General features: G+C 37.1%; 1 long non-coding RNA gene across 1 annotated transcript in view; it reads right to left on the reverse strand.

Moving 5' to 3' along the window:
* Positions 1-23,239, reverse strand: part of LOC105378339 (uncharacterized) — a 145,924-nt gene that overhangs the window by 36,168 nt on the left and 86,517 nt on the right. The window contains exon 5 of the long non-coding RNA XR_001747476.2: positions 5,089-5,228. This is a non-coding gene — a long non-coding RNA (uncharacterized LOC105378339). The remainder of the gene's footprint in view (positions 1-5,088; positions 5,229-23,239) is intronic.

A 23,239-nucleotide genomic window follows, 5' to 3' on the forward strand; every position in this document is an offset into this window, starting at 1 on the left:
TCACTTGGACTTCTAAGGATGCAACTAACTCCTTCAAACTAGTGAGATACAGAAAATGTAGCTGCAATACTATAGTACAACATTAACACTCCCATGCACAAAACTGAAAGGGATCATATAATACTGGTGTGTCTACGCTGAGATGACATATTGCACGCTAACAAACATTGCAAAATCCAGCACATCAAGAAAATGAAAAATTGTTGAATAGCAGGTGATTGGAATGTTAGATGCCAATGAGATCCAGGTATTTTGCTAACTGTTCTAAACACATTTCTTCTGTGAAGAGGAAGCAATACAATGGTGATTGCTTCTCTTCTGTGCCTGCCTTGTATCACACTTTCAAAAGAAAACAGTCTTTTTAACCATAATTTACAATGCATTATGTAATTGGCTGCTGCAGTGAATATGCAGAAAGTATTTGTTTAATTTAGAATTTAAGAACTGCTGAGCTTGGTCCAATAAGTGTGGCAAGACAGAACTTCTATACTTTTGTTGAAAGTCAACATTCCACACTCAATACTTAAGCAAGTCCCTTCAATATGTCAGTTTCACCATACATCACTTTCTTTATAAGTTGAGTTCTATTAATGACAGTTTTGATGGCCATTTATGAAGATGAGCTCTTCATAATGCCTTATATATATCTCAACTTGTGCTGTGGATATGCCATTATGTAAGTCATTTCCTTGTATTTTTAACAGAAGATGAGCAGTTCAATGATACTGATCGATGTTGGTGGCTTTTTATATTCTTCTCTAATGAATAATGTGAGGTGCTAGTGGTGCTATGTGTTTGTGTAAGCATATTCATATATATATATATATATATATATATATATATATATATATATATATATGAATACAGAGGTGGTTAAAATATTAAGCCAAGTATTCCCATATGCATGTATGAAATTTGTTTTAATATTTTCATACAATTTTGGAGTCATTATTAGTGCTATTTAAAGATGACTTACCCTTTAAGATATTTGGCCAAATACCTAAAAATTTTCTTACATCTTATCTTAATCACTTCCATCAGATTAACTTGTAAGTCACAGAATTTATGTTATCAGTAATCAGAAAAGATTAAAAAATATAATTTGGGCACCCACTAATAACTCAACTAGGCATCAATACTTAGCCAAGCAGTACTACAAACCTCAAGATCCCAAATCATTAGCAGCAAATCAAGATTGAGAATAAGGACCATCTCCTAGTCATTCCTCAGGAAAGGTTGGGGCTCCTGCATAAATTTCCAGGGGTCTTTTAATATCCAATATTATGGAGACCTATTCACATTATAATTTCTGAACATCAACCACTCTCAGTTTAACTTCATTTATGACTCTTTGCCCTTAAGAGAGCCAGTGACCAACTTCAGGCAGGGGTAATTCCATTTCTCTGAGGAAATCTGTTGTACATCCCATAGACATATTCAGTCTTCTCCCACTTTTCTGCTTCCATCTCCTCATCTGATGTTTTCCCTCTTTACTTCCATATTCCCTATTTGCCAATCATCAGATACCCCACCTGAGTTAGGGTATCATTTCATTGTATTTTATTACCATCAGGTAACTGGCAGGAATATCATGAATTTTTTTATCCTTTAAGAAAAGGATCCCTTATTTCTTCAGAATTCTCTTATCTTTTTTCACCTATGTTTTAAGTATTTTCCTTTGAGATATTTAGCTAATTTGACATTGGTTCCAATTCCCACCTGGTTAGTGGAGATAAGTCTCTCTCATTCCTGGTATATTTTACACTTTTTAAACCAATGTTATTTGCTTTGCTCTCTGTTCTCTGAATCATTTTTCAGTTTTTACACAAGATAGAGCAAAACACAGAGGTACGTAATTTAAATAAACCTGCAACAACCCTAGGGAGAGATATTGTTATACAAATTTTATAAACATAAAAACCAAGTTTAATAACCCACCCAAAGTCAGGCAATTAATAGATAAATGGTACAATTTTGTATCGATTTTATCTCATTTTAGTATCTAAACCTTTCCTATCAGTAAACAGTTTCTCAGGATTTGAATTAATATCCTTAACTGTTCCTTTTCTATCTTCCCCACTAGTACACTTTGACCTTGCTTGGCAAATTTGCATAATAATATCTGGATGTAGCATCTTTTTCTCTGAGGGATATATATTTGCTTATCATTTGTCTTCTGCATTTTCTATAAATACCAGAATTTTTTTGCTAAGAGAACTGGATAATAAACACTATGGAATCAGAAACATCTAAAAATTTTTTTAAAAATTAATAAAATTTAGTACAGTGAGCACAAAATAAAAGTAATTCTGTGACAGCGACTTTAGCAGGAGACATGAGTCCAGTAAGCAAATCTGACTGATTTGTTGAAGCATTCTGCCTGCAGGTCAGTGTTGCCTTGCTTGTTGAAAAGCCCACTTTAACCCCCAACTCACTGAAGGGTACGTTACAGCCTGCTTCATGAAATGTAAAGTTTTCAGGTATGGATGTTTGGCATTTTCACAAATGAGAAATTTGAAATGTTTACAAATAAAATATGCTCCAAATGACAAATTCACTTACAGGAGGGTTAGAAAGCATCCTATTTTGACAGCTAATTTTACTCTGCTTACTATAAGGAAATTTTCCTGGAAAATCAGAATCTTTGGAGCAATATCTAAGTTCAAATCTTATATACTGTGTCCATTATCAATATAAGCTTGGAAAATTAAACACCTCTGAATCAAGTTTCCTCATTTGTAAACTAAAGACTGTTTACTTAGTTATGATAAGTGAAAGACATCAAATACCTCAGTGCTCAGTTAGTAATAAATTACTTTCTCACATTCCTTTCAATGGGGACAGGATATTATTCCATGGGCCTTATGGGTAAACAATTATCTTACATATGTAACCAGCTCTTAGTATAATGGAGCCAGGAGAGAATCCTCCTAATATATGTACTTCACAATTTTTTCCTCTGGCTACTTGTTTTAAATGAGAATAAAATTAAGTAAAATAGCCTAACAATTCAAAACTAGACCAGCAATAATGTATTTTTAAACCCTGGAAAATTTACTTATTCATCTTGAACTCCAAATTTCTCACTGAGATAATATGTTGTTTAAACAAAAATGTCTGTAAGAGTCCATAAAGTGACAGAATGAGTGAATGTGCAAAGAAACTATTCCAAGAACCAGGAAAATACAAGAAGAGTTAATAATAACCCAAGCAATTAAAATGATGCATATCAGGTACTGGGGATGCTTTAGTGTGCTTGGGCTGCCATAACAAAGTACCACTGATTGGGTGGCTTAAACAACCAACTTATTTTTCACGATTCTGGAGGCTTGAATTTCAAGAGCAAGATACTAGCAAATTTGGTTTCTGGTGAAGACTCTCTTCCTAGCTTGCAAATCACCCACCTTCTTGCTGTGTCCTCACATGGCCTTTTCCTCTGTGCTTACAGCGAGAGAGAGAGAGAGAGAGATCTGGTGTCACTCTACTTATAAAGATACAACTTCTATTTCATAAGGGTCCCACCCTTATTACTGCCTTTAACCTTACTTAGTTCCTTAAAGGTTCTCTAAGATGGTGGGGTGGGGTGGCATTCAGTTCAGAACAGGAGATATGGCTAAAGTACTGGAAAGAAAAATGTACAGCCTAAAAGAGGTACCTGCCCATCCATTCATCTACTCCTCCCTCCAACCACTCCTCCCACTATCCATTCAGTATACATACATTAAGACAAAATTTTAAAACTCAAAAAGATATATAGAAAGACTTAATACAAGTAAAAGAAGTTAATAAAATAAAATATTTTGAAATGGAGACATCTCAAGTAACTCCAAATTTCATTTCTTGTAACTAAAATTTGATCAAGAAAATAAAAAGTAACACACACACAAAACATAACAGAATCAGAGAAAATAAACATACTGCAGGTATGATTGAGAATCAGTGAAAATATCCCACATGGTATACCAAAAATTTAAATATCTTTGTGAAATAAATTAATTTTTGGGAAAATAAAAATTACTCTTATTGACACAAAAATATAGAAAAAAGCATTAAGCTAATTGGAAAGTCAATTAATGATCTATTTGTATTATTTGGGGAACATGTAGTTAATATATTCCCTAATCTGTTCCACAGTACAGAAAAAAATTGGAAAACTTCAGATTCATTTTACCTTGCTATATTATGTTATTCACAAATTAATACTAGTGATTGTTAGCCTCCAAAAGAAAAGTTTATGCCAATTTCACTTATTAAATTGAATTTTTTAAAATCATAAATAATTAATAACAAATAATATTCACCAGTTATTTAATTAATACCTTATCCTATTCTAGGAAGCATAATCATCCCCCACCAAAAGGCAACTATGGTACAAATTATGAAGTATTATTATAATAAACCACATTGTCAAATGCAGTTATTCAGTTAGGGACCATAGCAAAGTCTGAGAGTAGTGAGTTGTAACAGGTATTCATGAATAACACCAAATGTCCCAGATCTTAGCAAGAAATGTTTGTCAAGGCCATTTTACCAACAAATGCCTTGTGGATAGGGGTAGATTTTACCCTTGTTGCAGTCATCTATCACCACATAAGAAAATTCTACAAAATGTATTATTTCTATGATTCTGCTCTCTGTGTTTGGCTCAGCTGGGCACTTTGTCTGCTCTAGCTGGTGTCTATTAGGCTGAAACTTCTGAGGTGGCAGTATTAGACTGCTAGGACAGACTGTGTGGCTGAAACAATAGAAATGTATTTTCTCACAGTTCTAGGGGCTAGAAGTCTAAGATGAAGTTGCTGGCAGGTGTGGTTTCTTCTGAGGCCTCTCTTCTTGGCTTGCGGACAGCTGCCTTCTCACTGCGTTCTTGTGTAAATTTTTCTTGTGCTTCTGTGTTCCTAGTGTCTTGTCCTCTTCTTATAAGGGCACAATTTTCTTGAATTATGGCTCCTCTCTTATAACCTTATTCACCCTTATTTACATATCTAAAGGCCGTATCTCCAAATACAGTTACATTGAGGGATTAGGGTTTCAACATATGAATTTGGGAAGAGACATAACTCACTTCATAGCAGTGGCTTTATCACTCACCTGTTTGATACCTCTGTTGGAAAGGCTGGAACAGCTGGGAGGTTGACTGGACATTCTCTCTCCAAAAGGCTTTTCATTGTGGCTAGCTGGAGATTCAGCACAGCTCATGCTCTCACGGTAATCAGACATCCTATACAGTGCTGGTTTTAAAGAAATCAGAAGTTTCAAGGTCTCTTTCTTGATAACTAGCCCAGGAACTGACAGAGCCTTACTTCTGCCACATTGTATTAATCAAGGCAAGTCACAGGCCCGCTCAGATTTGTGATGGAAGGGTGGAGAAACAGGCTCCCCTTCACCATAGGTGCAAAGGCATACACACATAGGAGAAAGAGAATTGTTGATTTCTCCCATTGGAGGCCACCACCCCACTGAGAAGAATTAATGTTCTCAGTGTCAGTCAACCTAGGAAGATTAATACTGGAATAAGGAATAAATCTCATCAAAGGGATATTATATGAAGAAGAGAAGCTTCTATTTCTGGGCAATAGAATAAATGTATTCAAATTCTAAGTGCACAAGAGCCCTGAAACAGTTGTTAGGAAAATATTGGATGAAATTGATGAGAAGCCCCAAGCTTGGCCAGAAGTTTTACTTTCCTCTCTGTTCTGTAATTCTCATTCATGATCCTTACCCTTTCATTAAACTCTGATTAAAATTATGGCCTTAGCATTGGTTCTGCTGTGGGGATAGAGGAAAAGAGTCTGTGTTCCTAGTTGAGATGAAATAATATAAAGGAGAACACAGTGTCCCCAGCCTAAAGCCCAAAGAGTGATTGACAGAAGCCAGCCCAACCAAAAAATTGCAATTAGGCATAGGTTAGCTATAATAGAGGCAATAACAAGGCAACACGAAGTCATAATGTATTATCTGACAAGATGCAGTAACCTGGGAAATAATGCTGGTGAATACTTGTGTCACTGTCATTTGGATGCATGATGACATCATATAAACCTCTTGTACTATCTTGTCCCATTTTAAAATCACTTATGTTTCCTGGTGCATATAAAGTAGAATGGAAACATCACAGCATAACCAGCTGTATATAATTTTGAGTCATTTGATGGACATAATATTGCCCATAAACCCTTAATAAAATGTAGTATGCATCTTTTCTAGTTGAGTCAGCTTTCCTAAGATTATTAGTGGAATCCAATATCCAACAAAAACTGAAAAAAGTTGTCTTACCATCTTATTTCTCACCGCTAGTCCCATTAGACTGTATACTCAGTCACATCACTTGCAACTCTCTGAAAATGTTTTTTGGCCTTTTGCATTTCCATGAGTTTGCCTATTGTCTTTATCTGAGCCCAGACTCTCTTACCTGTTATGTATTTGTTCCCTCAGAAATCATATACTTACAGTCTGTACAAGCCTACCTCTTCAAGGAAACATTTCCTGACACAGAGCCTTAGCTCCTGACAACTCTGCTACTATATTGAGAGTTCCTTAATAGTATGAACTCTGTCTTGCATTCCTCTCCAAAGAAAAATAACAGTAAATATTTTTAAATGGTTAAAAGAATGATATAACTTCACACTTAGATTTTAAATATAGAACTTCTCACTGGCTCTTGATACTGTAAAATTTTGAATTTGAAGGAACTTGGCAAAACCACAAATTAATCTCCATATGTTCTCCTTTGAGATTCATATGAATATTGCATTCCATGGAAAACCTCAGTATTACATAGGTCCTTAAAATAAATGTGCAAAGTAATCTTAATCTTTTGTGGTATATGTTTTGGTTAAATAAAAGAAGCCATAGCAATATGCTGCAAAATTGCTTTGGTTCAAAATGTCATTTTAGATCATCTTCTCCTGGGCAAAGGTAAATATGATTCTAATAATATTTGACTTGTAAACTGTATTTTTATTAAGGTAGGTTGACTTTCTTATAAACTGAAAATTAATTTGAAGAATTCCTAGTCATGCAAATGACAGTATCTAAGAAAAGAGACATGTATAATATCATCTAAAAGAGTTGTTGTTTCATATGTTTTCTTCTTGATATGCAGCCATACAAGTGATTTTTAATGTTCATAGTATGGTAAGTTAGTTTTTCCTTTTTGATATAAAAACATGACAGATTTGGCTCTCTTTTGGAGTGCTATTTCTGATATAAGAAATCACGTACATATCAAAGTATCTCTCTTTTCTTTGGGCAGAGTCTCACTCTGTCACCCAGGCTGGAGTGCAGTGGCATGATCATGGCTCACTGAAGTCTTGACCTCCTGGGCTCAAGTGATCCTCCTGTCTTAGCCTCCCAAGTAGCTAGAACTATAGGCACACACCACCATGCCCAGATAATTTTTTAAAAAGTTTTTGTGGAGACAAGGTCTCAATATATTGCACAGGTTAGTCTTAAACTCCTAGGTCAAGCTAACTTCCTGCCTCAGCCTCCCAACCTGTTGGGATTACAGGCATAAGTCCCCACACCTGGCCTCAGTGTATCCCTCTGTATGATTAAATTGCTTTTTTGCAATAATCAGAAATTAACTTACATTAGCTTAAGCATAAGAGTAAGTTTTTGAAGCAATGTCAGATCTTACAGAATCAGATGGAAGGCTATAGAATCAAGTCTCAGCAATGAACAAACTCTACCACCACTTTGTTTGCCATAGCCACTGTCATTCTTTATACACCAATGGGAATCATTTCAAGTCTCAAGACTTCAAGTCTCCAGTTTACCCAGCCTGGCGGAGGAGAGGCATTAGAAATACCTAGCCTCCATTGTACTTGTGAGAGGTGGGACCTAGTTAAAGATTTCCCAAAATATAGAAAAATTGTTGAGAAATAGATAGCCTTCACATGTCACAAACATCCACTATATATTTTTAATACGTTGGGAAATGAAATACTGTGGACATTTTGGCTTTTCTTAAAATATATAATATATGGTAATATCTGTATGTTAATCTGGTATAAAAAGTGATAGTTGTGGCCAGACACAGTGGCTCATGCTTATAATCCCAGCACTTTGGGAGGCCGAGGTGGGCGGATCACGAAGTCAGATCAACACCATCCTGGCCAACATGGTGAAACCCTGTCTCTACTAAAATACAAAAATTAGCTGGGCGTGGTGGTGTGCACCTGTAGTCCCAGCTACTCGGGAGGCTGAGGCAGGGGAATTGCTTGAACCCAGGCAGCGGAGGTTGCAGTGAGCTGAGATCATGCCACTGCACTCCTGCCTGGTGACAGAGCAAGACTCTGTCTCAAAAAAAAAAAAGTGATAGTTGTAAGAGGACTTATTCTTTCATTTGCACTTAATATGTACAATATATATCAACATATCATGGGAGCAAAAGAAGAAAAATAATATGCTTGTATAGTGTATGGAATCTTGATACATATGAATCAGGCTGTTATTATAGGACACAGCTTAAAAATTATGAATTATCATTTAAAAAATCACTAGAAGTAAATAATTTATTTTAGTGTTCCCTGAGTTAATTGAAGAGTAACAAGAAACTTCATAGAAGAGTTTGTCATTTGTTTTATAAGAAAGTGAAACCGCACACAATCAATCATATGGGTTGACGCTTCCTCTTAATGTGATATCAACAAAACAAATTGGAATGGGTTATAATTCAGGATATAAAGACATTTCTCATGGAAGTGCTAAAGTCAAATAAAATCACCAAGAAGAGTGTCAAGAGGTACCAACAGGTTGGAGACTATTAAAAAGCATGAAAATACTAGTAGGCATTCCCTACTGAAGTTCCAGTGGCATGTTAATTATTAAAATGGTGGAAAAAAAGGTCAGAAAATTACAGATAATGTATGTTGCCATTTGATATGGTTTGGCTGTATCCTCACCCAAATCTCATCTTCAGTTGTAACTCCCACAATGCTCACATATCATGGGAGGAACCCAGTGGAAGATGATTGAATTATGGGGACAGGTCTTTCCTGCACTGTTCTTGTGATAGTGAATGAGTCTCATGAGATCTGACGGCTTTAAAAGTGGGAGTTTCCTTGCCCAAGCTCTCTCTTTGCCTGCAGCCATCCATGCAACATGTGACTTGCTCCTCCTTGCTTTCTGCCATGATCGTGAGGCCTCCCCAACCATGTGGAACTGTAAGTCCATTAAGCCTCTTTTTCTTCCCAGTCTCTGGTATGTCTTTATCAGCAGCATGAAAATGGATTAATACACCATTGTTATTTATTTATTTATTTGAGATGGAGTCTCGCTCTTGTCATGCTGGTAAGAGTGCAGTGGCATGATCTTGGCTCACTACAACCTCTGCCTCCTGGGTTCAAGCGATTCTCCTGCCTCAGCCTCCCAAGTAGCTGAGATTACAGGTGCCTGCCACCACACCCGGCTAATTTTTCTATTTTTAGAAGAGACAGGGTTTTATCATGTTGGCCAGGCTGGTCTCGAACTCGCAACCTCAAGTGATCTGCCCACCTCGGCCTCCAAAAGTGCTGGGATTACAGGCATGAGCCACTGTGCCCAGCCCACCATTGTTATTAAAAGGTCATTAGTCTAGATTGGGAAGGACTTTCTAAACTTAGAAGTAATAGGAGAAGTTACAAAGTGAGGCATTGGCATACCGAATACACACAACTTGAAATTGATCTATTTCAAAGTCAACATTATGTCAAAATTAAAGACAACAATAGGCTACATAAAATATTTTCAATAAATATGACAAAGGATTAATATTTTAATGCATAGAAAATGTTTAAATATTAATAGTCTTTTAAGATCCCAATATGAAAATGGGTACAGGACATATAGGTTGGTGCAAAAGCAATTGCAGTTTTTGCCATTGAAAGTAATGACAGGCTGGGCACGGTGGCTCTCACCTGTAATCCCAGCACTTTGGGAGGCCGAGGCAGATGGATCACAAGGTCAGGAGATTGAGACTATCCTGGCCAACATGGTGAAACCCTGACTCTACTAAAAATATAAAAATAGCTCAGTGTGGCAGCGCACACCTGTAATCCCAGCTATTCAGGAGGCTGAGGCAGGAAAATCGCTTGAACCTGGGAGGCAGAGATTGTAGTGAGCCGAGATGGCACCACTGCACTCCAGCTGGTGACAGAGCAAGACTTCATCTAAAAAAAAAAAATAATGACAAAAACTGCAGTTACTTTTGCACTAAGCTAATAATTAGTCAAAAAAGAGAAAATAGTTAATACAAATATCATCATATGTATGCATTCTCCAATGTTTTAGTAATTAATTACATTAGTAATCAAATAATATTATACTTAATAGATGTCAAATTTTAAATGAAAATGTGCATTGTTCAAAAGGTTCAATAATAACAGGGCACTTTTATTAACTTTTTCAGAAGCCCAGAGTAATATAAGTTTTATAGGCCAATAAGGATGTAGACTTTGAAACAATAATATACATGTTAGAAATGCTTGTTCCCCAGTGCCATAACGAAATAGCATTTGAACATAAATTTAATTTTCTCAGGAAGGCCATTTTTTTTACCTTCTGCAGAAAGGGTACAGTTGCCAGCAGTTTTGCCACCAGAGTACACCAAACAAAGGAGACAGGGTTGTTTATAACCTGACACATCCACCCTACTGCTGTGTCCAGTTTCCATTGGCTGGAAAGGGAGCTCATATTCTGTATTTGTCCTAATTGGCTAGCAACTTAGAACTTTCTAAAAGATGTAAAAGCAGAGGAGAACAAAGGAAGGAGGAAGTAACTTGTGGAAAGCTGAGAAAGGTAAAAACACCTCCAAATAAGGAAGAGGAATTGGCTATGACCTAATGCTTGCTTGGACCAATATAAGCATGGCAGGGCAAGTATTCAGGCTAAATTGTGGGAGCTAAGAACACAAAGTACATTGATTTCTTTATTACAGTTAGCAGATATCTAAGATTGTTAGCACAGGTCCTTGAATAAATTTTGCTTCTAAGAGAAGTTACTATTTATTCCTAATTAGATGGAGAGGAAAATCTCTTTGAAGAGGAACTTCTACTTTACTTTTTACGTACATAAACTTGGACACAATGGTTTTAATTATAGATGTTTAGTTTAAATTAATTCATAATATAAAAAATACTGTTGCTCCCTGCATTATTTATATTGGTTAAAAAAAATCCTAAAACTAAACATTGAACAAACTATAAGTGAGCCAAATTAACTATAATTAATTTAAAAATGTTTGGTCATTAAAATTATTTATGAGACGGTTTTAGCTCCAACTTAAAAAGATCTTAGAAATAGTCAATCCCATCATTTTGATAGGAAAAAGCAAACAAACTAAAAATCAATGACTTCTTGGATCCATCAGAGAACTGAGTTTGCAGGGCACATTACCTCCCTGAAATCTGAAGAGACAGGTGGATTCAAAAAGTCACAGGTGAAATCTGTCCACCCAGCAAAAACCGCTGGACCTGTAAAATGGTAAGAATACTGCAATGGTAACTTTGGAGAACTGCTTTAGACTGAGTGTGAACCAGCATGTCAGAAAGAAATTCCCAGGAGCCCCATTCTTGCTTGGGGAAGGTGGCAAAATTTTCATGAGTTTTGTCTCCAGGAAATCCATCAGGTTTTCAAGGTTGAAGGTCTGAGAAAAAGATCCTTTTGTCTCTAGCAGGAAGAAAGGAAGAGAAATCATTCTGAAATTCCGCCAGAGACTTCTCCATAACGAAGGCCTATTATCCAGGGAAAAGACTTTACAAAACAAAGCCTTTTCCCAGAGCAATGGGAGATGGATATTCTTCTCATTCCACCTCCTTCTAGCCTTCCTATCTCATCTAAGTGCAGGGGTGGGATGAAAAACTATAGAAGAAGAAACGCTTGTAGTGGTCACAGATTAGAGACATAGAGCCACTAAAAGACTGAGACTGAACAGAAATATTACAGAAGCTTCCAACTCCCACACTTTATTATCACACCCACCAGGCTCCAATAAAATAATAGTGGATTATAACTGAAACAAGTGAAAGACACAGACTATCTCTTAGGAGTAGTATTTATTGGAGACGAAGGTCAAGACAAAATCAAGTACAACAGAAAAATATGAAGCTTCTGGGAGGCACAGCTGCTGCAAAGATGAAACATGGCGCAACTCTTAGCCACATTAGAGGAAAAAATAATAACACAGTGGGAAAAGACAAAGGAAGCACTGAAACAGATCCAGGTATGACACAGATGTTGCAATTATCACACGGGAATGCTGTAATGGAAGAGTAGGCAACTTGTAGGAACAGATGTGTAGTGTTATTAGAGAGATTAAAATTCTAAGAAAGAATCAAAAGGAAATGCTAGAAATAAAAATGGAGAAGTTCTGTGTTAAATTAAGTTTAGCCTAAAGCTGCTTCTTCACATATTTTAAGTTTGGCATAAAAGTTTCTCTGTACATAGGGAACTAAAACCTAACTGGATATGTAAACAGACTGTAACCTACTCTTGGGCCAGTCGCCAAGTCTTGGCCAATCAAAAGTGGCCAACTGTTCAAACCATATTCAGATAAGGCAAATGCCAAGATGTAACCAATCCAGCTGTTTTTGTACCTCACTTGTTTTCTGTGTCACTTTCTTTTCTCTGTCCATAAATCTTTCTCTACCACATGGCTGAGCTGAATCTCTCTGAGCCTACTCTAGTACAGGAGGCTGCCCAACTTGCAAATCATTCTTTGTTCAATTAAACTCTGTTACATTTATTTGTCTAAGGTTTTTCTTTTAACATCTGTGATAAGCTCATCAATAGACTGGACATGACTAATGAAAGAATCAGTGAGCTTGAGGTAGGTCAACAGAAGCCTAGAAACCTCACAGACTTAAATGCTATTATACAAAATTAGAAGAGGCTATTGTTTTGGACAGTCTGCGTATATTTTATTGGGTTTTTAGTCTTATTATCAAGTTGTTAGAATTTTTTACACATTCTGTATATGGGTTTTTATCAACTATATATATAATGACATTTATTTATTAGAATTATATACAAATATGCATATCCACATATCATCAATATTTCCTGTCTATGACATGCTTTTTTACTTTCTCATTGGTATCTTTCAAAGGAGAAAATTTTGCTTTTAATTTTCTCTGCAATGTCTTAGAGTTTTCATTGAACAAGTTTTGAAATGTGTTGACATAATTTATCCCTAATTACTTTAAGTGTTTTATGTCATCAACCTGAAATAATTACAAGAGTCGAAATCCAGTTTTTGTTTCGTTTTGTTCTGAGACGGAGTCTTGCTCTGTCTGCCAGGTTGGAGTGCAGTGGCGCGATCCCAGCTCACTGCAAGCTCCGCCTCCCGGGTTCGCGCCATTCTCCTGTCTCAACCTCCCGAGTAGCTGGGACTACAGGCGCCCATCACCATGCCCGGCTAATTTTTTGTATTTTTAGTAGAGACGGTGATTCACCGTATTAGCCAGGATAGTTTTCATCTCCTGACCTCGTGATACGCCCGCCTCGGCCTCCCAAAGTGCTAGAATTATAGGCGTGAGCCACTGCACCAGGCCGAAATTCAGTTTTAAAGAGTTTACTTAAGCATAAAGCTAAGAATAGACATCTGGGAGAAAAAGATTCCAGAGAAATGGGGTCAGTGCTCGAAAGTTAAAAGTTAAGTGCTTGCTTATATAGGAGAACAAACAAACAAAAATATTAACAGGATTACAACATGTTTAATACAAGGTTAGCTTGGGTTACAATAAGTTAGTTACAGTCTTTCTTTTCTCTATGGCTTGTTTTCTTTTCTCTATAGCTTGTTTTCATTTCCTTTCCAACTTAGAAGTGTTTATTTAACATTTCATCTTAAGGTGATGTGATAACCATGAAGTTTTTGTGTGAGAAAGGTAAGAAGGAGGTTAATCTATAATAAAAGTCAACAATAATAGGTAGGATGTCTTCCCCGGTGGCCTTCAGCCATTCTCAACATTTTACAAAATAATGCATGTGAGGAAGGCTTAATCTATAATCAGAGAAAACAAAGATTACACAGTTGCTTAGGTTATAGCTACCTGTAAAGTTGACTCAGTCCTCATAAGAATTCCTTTAAGGCTCAAAATCATTTAAGGAGTTCCAACAGCTTAGATTTTTGAATTACTTATGTTCACAATGTTTTATAAATTATAATTTGCTTTCAGTTTCCAGTTGGTTATTGCTAACATAAAGGAAACCAGTTGTCGTTCATATATTGATTTTTGCATCCTGAAAATTTACTAACCTATTATTGTTTGCTGTTTCTATTGTATTGACTAGGACAAATAAAATGTTGAATAGAAGTGGGTGCAATTGCCTCCATTTTCTTTTCCAAATATTACCAGGGAAGCTTTCATTCTTTTACCATTAAGTATGATGTAGCTGTAGTATTTTATTGATATGTATTATCAGGGTGATGAAATTTTATTTATTCCAAGTTTGCTGAGAGTTTTCATTATGAATACTGTTCATATTGTTGAATTTTTCAAGTGCTTTTTTTAATGCATCTACTAAGTTGATTATTGTCAAGCAAACAGGTGTTGAAGTGGTCAATTAAGACAATGAGACAGACAGTATGAACCAAGGCTTTATTTACTTACGGTGGCAGCCTTAAGAAAGAGGTTAAAAAAGCTCTGACTCCCAAATGTTCCATTTTTTTGTTCCCTGTGGAATGGCATTAGGTGAGGGTCAGATAGGTGCAGTGTAGATGATGATAATTGCCTCTCGGCTGAGAATTGAATAAAAGCTTCTTGCCTCTTTAAGCCCCCACGGGTAGGTGGTGAGGGAGAAGAGGAAGGGCTAGGAGTGGAAACATACTGAGTTAAAGTGGAGAAATGTGCCCCAGACACGGTCCCTGATAAAGAGGCCTTCATATAGTCTAGGGCTAAGAACACAGATAGTCCTAGGAGCATGACTTGGGGAGGGGAGAGGAAGGAGTGGAGTGGCTGAGTTTGTGACTGCAACTTCCTCCATAAAACTGCAATGCTGTGCTATTTTATGAAGGAAAGCTTACATTCATTATATGAAGGAGGGCTTACATGCATTGTTTTGGCACACAGCATGGCATACATCCTTACAATGCATTTAAGGAGGGCAGCTTTCCCCCAGCTATGCACCAAGTTTGGGGTGGGGAGGGCTGACTCAAGAAGCCTGGCAGGCAAAGCCTTGTAATTGCCTATGGTTGAACATGAAAGATTACACATAGGATTTTGGCCTGGAACTGGACCCCTCAATCACAGGTTTTTCTTCTTCATTCTTTTACTTAAAACAATGATTTGGGCTGGGTGCAGTGGCTCATGCCTGTAATCCCAGCACTTTGGGAGCTGAGATGGGCAGATCACGAAGTCAGGAGTTCGAGACCAGCCTGACCCACACGGTGAAACCCCATCTCTACTAAAAATGCAATTAACTGGGTGTGGTGGAGTGCACCTGTAATCCCAGCTACTCAGGAGGCTGGGGCAGGAGAATCACTTGAACCCGGGAGGTGGAGGTTGCAGTGAGCCAAGATCGTGCCACTGCACTCCAGCCGGGGGTGACAGAGGAGGTTCTGTCTCAAAACAACAACAACAACAACAGCAATAACATAAGATCATTCTTTTTTTCCTAAAATATACATTTGAAACTTTAAGTCTCCCTCTGAGTATCCCTCTAAGGACCACTTTGGCTGCGTATCCCAATATTTCTATAATTTTTGGAATAATTACTCATGATTTATATAACATACATATATTGTGTATTTTTAAATTTTATAATCTGCCTTTAAATAATATTTTAACACTTCACACAGTCTAAGGAAAGGCAGGAATGAAAACACAAATCTGTGACTTTTTTTCAAAGCACCAATTTTCTTCTGAGAGCAGGACACCATTTAGCTGACTTGGTGGCCCATGACATTAGGATAAATTAAATGTCAGGGTTCAAAACGTTGATTTATAATTCTGATCTGAATATGTGAGGGAGATATTCATGATGGCATTGCATGCCTGAGTTTGGAGAACACAAATCTGTATTTGTACCAATGTGTAAAGCTGTGTGGTGTTCTCCAGCAGCACTCAGCAGCCTGGAAAGGAAGTGGAGAAATATGTGAGGTGAGGTTGAGGAGGACGGACGGATATGGCAAAAAAAAAAAAAAAAAAGCTCAAAGATAGATGATGAAAGAGTTTGTTGAAATGACACATTTTTTTCTTTCCCTAAACTAGATGAGAAAGAAAATGAATTGATAAGACAGGTGAAGGGTTAGAACACAGGAAAGTTTCACATTCAATCTAACATTTCACACTCATTCTAGGATAATTGTGAAATGAGAAGAAAATTTACAGAAGAGACAGAAAGGGATAGAGAGAGGAAAAAGGAGAGGGAGAAAATTTAACAATGATATAAATTTTCTATTATTCTGTTTCCTTGTATAGATAAATTCTGGGTTGGAAATTTTCCATTTGCCCCATCAGATCCAATCTGCACCATTTTTTCACCATACTCTCTGCCTTAAAATGCTAACCTATATGGAATTGCATCATCGATTGACTTCCATGACCTTCAACTCCCTTCAAGGTTGAGACATTGAGGGTCACTAGCATAAGATCAAAAGACAGGCAGAGAGTGAGCTCAAGGTAATTACTCTTCTCACTTCCTCCTTGCCAAGTTACAGCTCCTGCTAGTATGCCTTTTATGTAGTTTCTGTCTACAGATTCTACTATCTGCTTCCTTTCTTTGCCCCTTCGTAGTAACGTTTAACAGCTTCAGGTTTGCATTATCCCCTGTTAGTTTCCCCTAAGCCTACCTATACCTTTGTAAATCATCTCCTTTTTAAATTTATACTGAACTTCCCAATTTCAGTGTGCCATCTGTCTCCGGTGCAATCTAGACTAACACACATACACACACATGTGAGTGTGCTCATACACACACACTAATAGCATAGGGTGATGTCAAATTTCTTTCTGATATTGACTTTCCTCACTAATAACCAGCATTTCTCTTGGATTTGTTATACAAGTTCACGGATGCATAGTGGGAAATATGGCCACCAAAGTTCTATGCTTGAATGAACAAATTGTAGGACCCTTATAACCAGCTATTACTGGTGTCTAAAATTATATCAATTACTCTAAAATCAAGTAATGAATTCAGAAAAAAATTATTCAACAAATATATATTTAAATGCTCAGTAGGTACCTGACAAAAATTAAGAAAAAAGAGCCAACATGTGTTGAATGTGGAGGGTGGAGGCTGGAGAGTGTCTAGGTTCTTGGCGTCTTGAACAAAGAATTGGACAAAACACACAAACAAAGCAAGGAAAGAATGAAGCAACAAAAGAAGAGATGTATTGAGAATGAAAGTACATGCCACAGGTTGGGAGCAGGCCTGGGCATAAGGACTCAAGACCCCCATTACAGAATGTTCTGGGGCTTAAATACCCTCTAGAGGTTTCCATTGGCTACTTGGTGTACACCCTATGTAAATGGCCTGAATCGGCCTTATGTTCTCTGCCTCCAGATCCTATTCTCCTGCCTTAACTGTACTATTGAAAGTGATTTATATGAATTACCTCTCTTGCTTCTCTCAACAACCCTGTGAAGCACATCCTATTTCAGGTGAGTAAACTTAGAAATTTTGAAGGAAATAATTTTCCCAAAGTTGTCCAATGCTGCTATGTGAGAAATCTGGATTTTCACTCAACGAGTCCGATTACAGTCTTCACTATTATGATCTTCACTACCTTGCATCTCTACCTTCTTAGACTAATCGTTTAGAAGGATGAAAGTTATTATACCAAGTATTTAATTGACCTGATAATAAAGATATAAATGAACTGTATAGAGATTCAACAATTGTTTAGTAGAAATAACTAGCATTTATGCAATAATGAGAGTCAAGTTGAAAACTGAAGAAGATTATGTAGGAGTTAAGCAGGTGAAGAGAGGGTGGAAGAGTATTTCTAACAGAGAAAACCACATGGATGAATGTCTCATGGTGGGAAGGAACATGGTACATTTCAAGAAAAAATAAATTGACACTGTCCAAATTATAGTTTATATATACACTGAGAAATGGAGTCAGGGTAAAACAGGACACAAAATGAATTCATTTAGATAGAGATAGTTGTGTGACAGGTTACAACCTTATAAATAATGAAAACCTTTAGCAATTAATGATGGCATGAGACAGGAGGATGGGTTTAGCATTAAGACTCCACAAATGAGAAATTTCACCAACAACATTTTAAGTGAATATATTCTTATATTACTTTGCTAAGGCTGCTGTGGCATACTACCGTAAACTGATTGGTTTATACAACAAAATCTGTGGTCTCACAGATTAGACTTTTAGTCTGGAGTCTAAAAGTCTGAGATCAAGGTGTCTGGGGGTTGGTTCCTTCTGAAGTCTGGGAGGAAGAATCTGTTCCCTGCCTCTCCCCTAGATTCTGGTGCTTTGTCGGCAATCTTTGGTTTGTGGATGCATCACTGTGATGTTCTTCCTGTGTGCATGTCTGTGTCCAAATTTTTCTTTTTTAAATAAGGATATCAGTCATATTGGCTTGGGCCCCACCCTCATCTTAACTAATTAAATCTGCAATGATGCTATCCCCAAATAGGGCCCCATTCTGAGCTACTGGGGATTAGGATTTCAGCATATGAATTTGGAGTGGATACAATTCAACTCATAACAATATTCATTTAATAAACTGTTAGATAATCTTTCATGTGCCTCAAATGGGCTCAAACTGTGAGGCTTACTACATTCATCTCAGTATAAAATACTGAAAAGAAATTGGATAGGTATACTCCATCTGTTATAGAGTTAGCCATAGACAGCAATGATAGTTTATTGTCACATTTTGCCAAGCATATTGACAAATCTCGCTTTTCGTACTCTTGATAGGAATATATGAAGATTAACTAGAAGTTATTTGAAAAAAATGTCCCTCAGTGCTCATGAGTGAATCCAGAAGATTTCCTTTAAAGCTTAGGAGCTGGAGGATGGACTACTAAATCTGAAGTGAAAGCACGTGTCTGATAGATGAACCCTTTGATCCTTTTCTCCCTTTCTGTTGAGAAGAGTTATAGTGAAGTACTGAGGATATATGAGTGCAATCTGTCTCTCACCCTCTTCCTCTCCATTTCTTCCACTTTAGTTCATTTTTCTTTGTGGAAAAAAAGACTTTGGAGAGCCTAAGAGCATACCAGGCCTTTGTGTGTGGATGTGTGCGTGTATTTTAAATCAAAGAGACTTCTAGTGAGCAAAAAGTCAGAGATCACAGGTGGCAAAGCTCCCAGGTCTAAGGTATTATCTTCTGTCTTTTTTTTTTTCCAAAAAAGGCAATTGACCCTCTCTATAATAAGTCACTGTTTATTTCCATACACAGAGCTATCAAAAGTTTGAAAGCACAGCATGTTCAATACAAAAGTGCCTGTTCTGCTATCTATAATAACTAATACAATATTAGTGGGATTGAGTGAAAATTAGTCTAATCTCTATACTAAAAAAAAATACATCCTAAAGTACATAAATTGTTTTTCCCTTAGTAGGTGGAAGGAAATACAGAGATATATGGAAAAATATATGCTATCAAATGTGACATTTCTCACCATTTATAAGTCCTATTGTTTCTGAGAATTTTTTGCATTCATTATATAAGGGAGAAATGAATGACAGGAAGAAAGCGTATCTCAGGGTTGAAGAAATAGCAGAACATAGAAATAACTCTGAGGGGAGAATCACAAAATCAAATTTAGAGCAGGAATTAGAACAAATGTGATTAAAGTATACTGAGAAAAAGAATGCAATAATAAAAGTAATTTTAATTTGTGATCCTATTTGAAGCTTGTAGCCACATTAAATCTCCTACTTGAAAAAGGAAGTGGTAAGAAATTACAAAGGAAAGGGAGAGCATCAGGCTAAATAACTAATGCATGCAGGGCTTAATACCTACGTGATGGGTTGGTAGGTACAGCAAACCACCATGGCACGCTTTTACCTATGTAACAAACCTGCACGTCCTCCACATGTATCCCGGAACATAAAATTAAATTAAATTAAATTTTAAAAAAATTTGAGAGACAGACTTTTTTTTAAAAAAAAAGATATTACAAAGGAAAAGATTATTAAAAACTGCAGGTTTAGCTGATAAGAACACAAGGACCAATAAAATGGAGTTTTCTAATGCTTCAAACAGATATTGTGTATGTGTATGAGTGAGCACATGTTTTCGTACATATTTTGGTAAGTTTGAGGCTAAGTGTGTCTTGTAGGATTGCTGAGGGATTGAGAGGGAGAAAACGTATGTGAAAACATCTGCCATCATACTTGATATATAGTAAAGGATTAATAATAGAAGCCAATTTCTGGTGTTGGTCATTAGGAGCAAAACTTTCCATTTTGACTCATCTTCTTTCTACTCTAAAGTTGGATGAACAAAACCTATAAAATAATATTAGAGGAGAAAAAAAATGGGATGCTAGATTTCTTGCTGCTTGCTTCCAAGAAACCTTAAATCTCAGAAGAGAGGATGGTGATAGTGTGGTTATTGTTGTTGTGTGTGTTATAGGAAACCAGTTGTTTGTATTATTGGGGGAGAAAGGCTAGATTGGGCAGTGGCCTGAGAGGATAAGTAATATGAGAACACTTTATTGTCTAGAACTTTGTTTTGCCTGTGGATAGAACTTCAAAAATGGAATTGTGTCTTTTTTTCTCATGTATATTTTGAAGAAAACCTTATTTTAAGGATAGTTTTCCCATGATAGATTAAAGAAACTGTGCCAGATTAAGGAAAAGGTGCCAGATAGCTGACAGGGAATGGAGCTTGCTTGGTCAACTGAAGCTACATTTGAGCAATTTTTTTTCTTTCACTATTACTACAACCCGCCTAAATAGAAAACCTCTGCATAACCCAGTCTCAGATCAGCCCTGATTACAAAGGGACAGCGACCATTGCTAGCCAGTAATACAAAGTAAGTTTTAAAAAGAATTCCAAACCTGCATCTCTACAAAAACATTAAGGAATTTTAATTAACAATTTGCTTACACATTTGTATAACTTTCTTTCTTTGTTTTAAACTACACAGTTATGCCACAGCATCTAACCCTCCAAGTCCTCAATATTTTCTTCCTTCTCACCCCAATCTTTGTAGCATTTCTCTGCACTTTCATCTCCCTATACCCTATTCTCTTGACTCTCTTAGCTCTTTCTTTAATTCTTCTTGGTGAAAGTCACCCTCCCGCCCCGTCTTCTTAAGAAGCAATAACTACCCTTTCTTATAAGCCTCCCACTTCTCATCTGAGGGTCTATCATTAGTGGAATCTGCTGTCTTCTGCGGTTAATTTTATCTCTGTTTTCTCCAATATCAAAAAAATTTTTTACCGTGAATAGAAGTCTTGGGAAAACTCTCTACACCAGCCTTTTGAGTCTACATCTCTCTACTAATCCCTCTTCTACATTACTGAAAAATAAAACTTAAAAATAAAAACAAAGAGACCGAAAATCAACTTCCAAATTTTTGCCAGCATAAGTAGGTGAGGCTCATAACATTTTAAGAGTTACTTTTTTTGTGTGGATAAAAATTATATCGGTTAGTTTATGGTTAAGAGAAGCAGCACTTCAGAGATTTCAAAAAGGAAGGTTTTCATTTATTTAGGATGTATGGTGTTATCTATCTATTATCTGTCTATCTACCTATCTAATCTATCTATCATCTATTTATTTGGTAACATGGAAATAAGGACTTGCAAAACAATTGGAAGGTCTAGAGGAAAAATGGTTAAGAAAGGCTGCCATTAGACCTCAGTTCTTGCCTTTAGCTCTGCAATGACTGAAGAAGCCCACGTTTCTATAAATCCCTTGTTGTCTCCCACACAGAAACAGGTTGTTTCTAAAGAAGACTGATGAGGAATCTTTAATTTGCTGAAGCCCACTCTCCTGCTCCCTCTTCTTGAGAAGTAATAAGTATCCTTTCTTATCTCATAAGCCTCCCACTTCTCATGCAAGGGTCCATCATTAGTGGAATCTAGCTCAGATCTCTACAGGGAGGGGCCCTAAGAAATGTACTTTTGGGCTCCCAGTGTCTATATTACAGAGCAGAGTATAGAAGGACTTAGGTGTCATGAAATGTTGCTAACAATCTGGCAGAACCCATAATGCCACTTCCCACTTTGCCTTTTTTTCTTTAAACATCATTTTGCTATTTAAATCCCTAAGAGATAAAATCATCCAAAATCATTGCTTAAGTCTGAGGATGAAAGTCAGATATTTTTGTATTTGTATAGTCTCAAATAATGTTCCATGGGTACTTTCTCAAGGCACTACAGAAGGAAAAGATCAACAAAAAGGGACTAGGTAGGGAAGAAGATGTAAAATCCAGGCAAGAGGATATCCATTCTAGGAATGAATAGGGAATTCATAGGATCATGTTGCTGGGAAGTCCCAAGTGATACCCACATACCATTTTTAGAAAATCACCTGTCCAGGCCGGGCATGGTGGCTCACACCTGTAATCCCAGCACTTTGGGAGGCCCAGGTGGGCGTATCACAAGGTCAGGAGATCGAGACCATCCTAGCTAACACGGTGAAACCCCATCTCTACTAAAAATATAAAAAATTAGCCACGCATGGTGGCATGCGCCTGTAGTCCCAGCTACTTGGCAGGCTGAGGCAGGAGAAGGGCATGAACCCGGGAGGCAGAGCTTACAGTGAGCCGAGATTTGCACCACTGCACTCCAGCCTGGGCAACAGAGTGAGACTCCGTCTCAAAAAAAAAAAAAAAAAAAAAGAAAGAAAGAAAAAAAAGAAAATCACCTGTCCAGATTGAGGCAGGAAGATCATATGGTCTAGAAAACCCTGTCTGTCACCAGGCACGATGGCTCACACCTTTAATCCCAGCACTTTGGGAGGCTGAGGTGGGTGGATCACTTGAGGTCAGTAGTTTGAGACCAGCCTGGCCAACATGGTGAAACCCTGTCACTACTAAAATATACAAAAATTAGCCAGGTGTGGTGGTGGGCGCCTGTAATCCCAGCTACTTGGGGGCCGAGGCAAGAGAAACACTTGAACCCAGGAGGCGGAGGTTGCAGTGAGCCAAGATTGTGTCACTGTACTCCAGCCTGGGCGACAGAGTGAGACACTGTCTCAATAAAAGAAAAAAAAGAAAACCCTGTCCCTGATAAATCACATGAGGTACTTAACAAGGCATTTTAGAGTCCTTTTGGTCATGGTTCATTTAGGCGGAAAGGTTGATAGGTAAGCATCTAACAAGAA

The sequence above is a fragment of the Homo sapiens genome, chromosome 10 (assembly GCF_000001405.40).
Source record: "Homo sapiens chromosome 10, GRCh38.p14 Primary Assembly".
NCBI classification, from domain to species: Eukaryota; Metazoa; Chordata; class Mammalia; order Primates; family Hominidae; genus Homo; species Homo sapiens.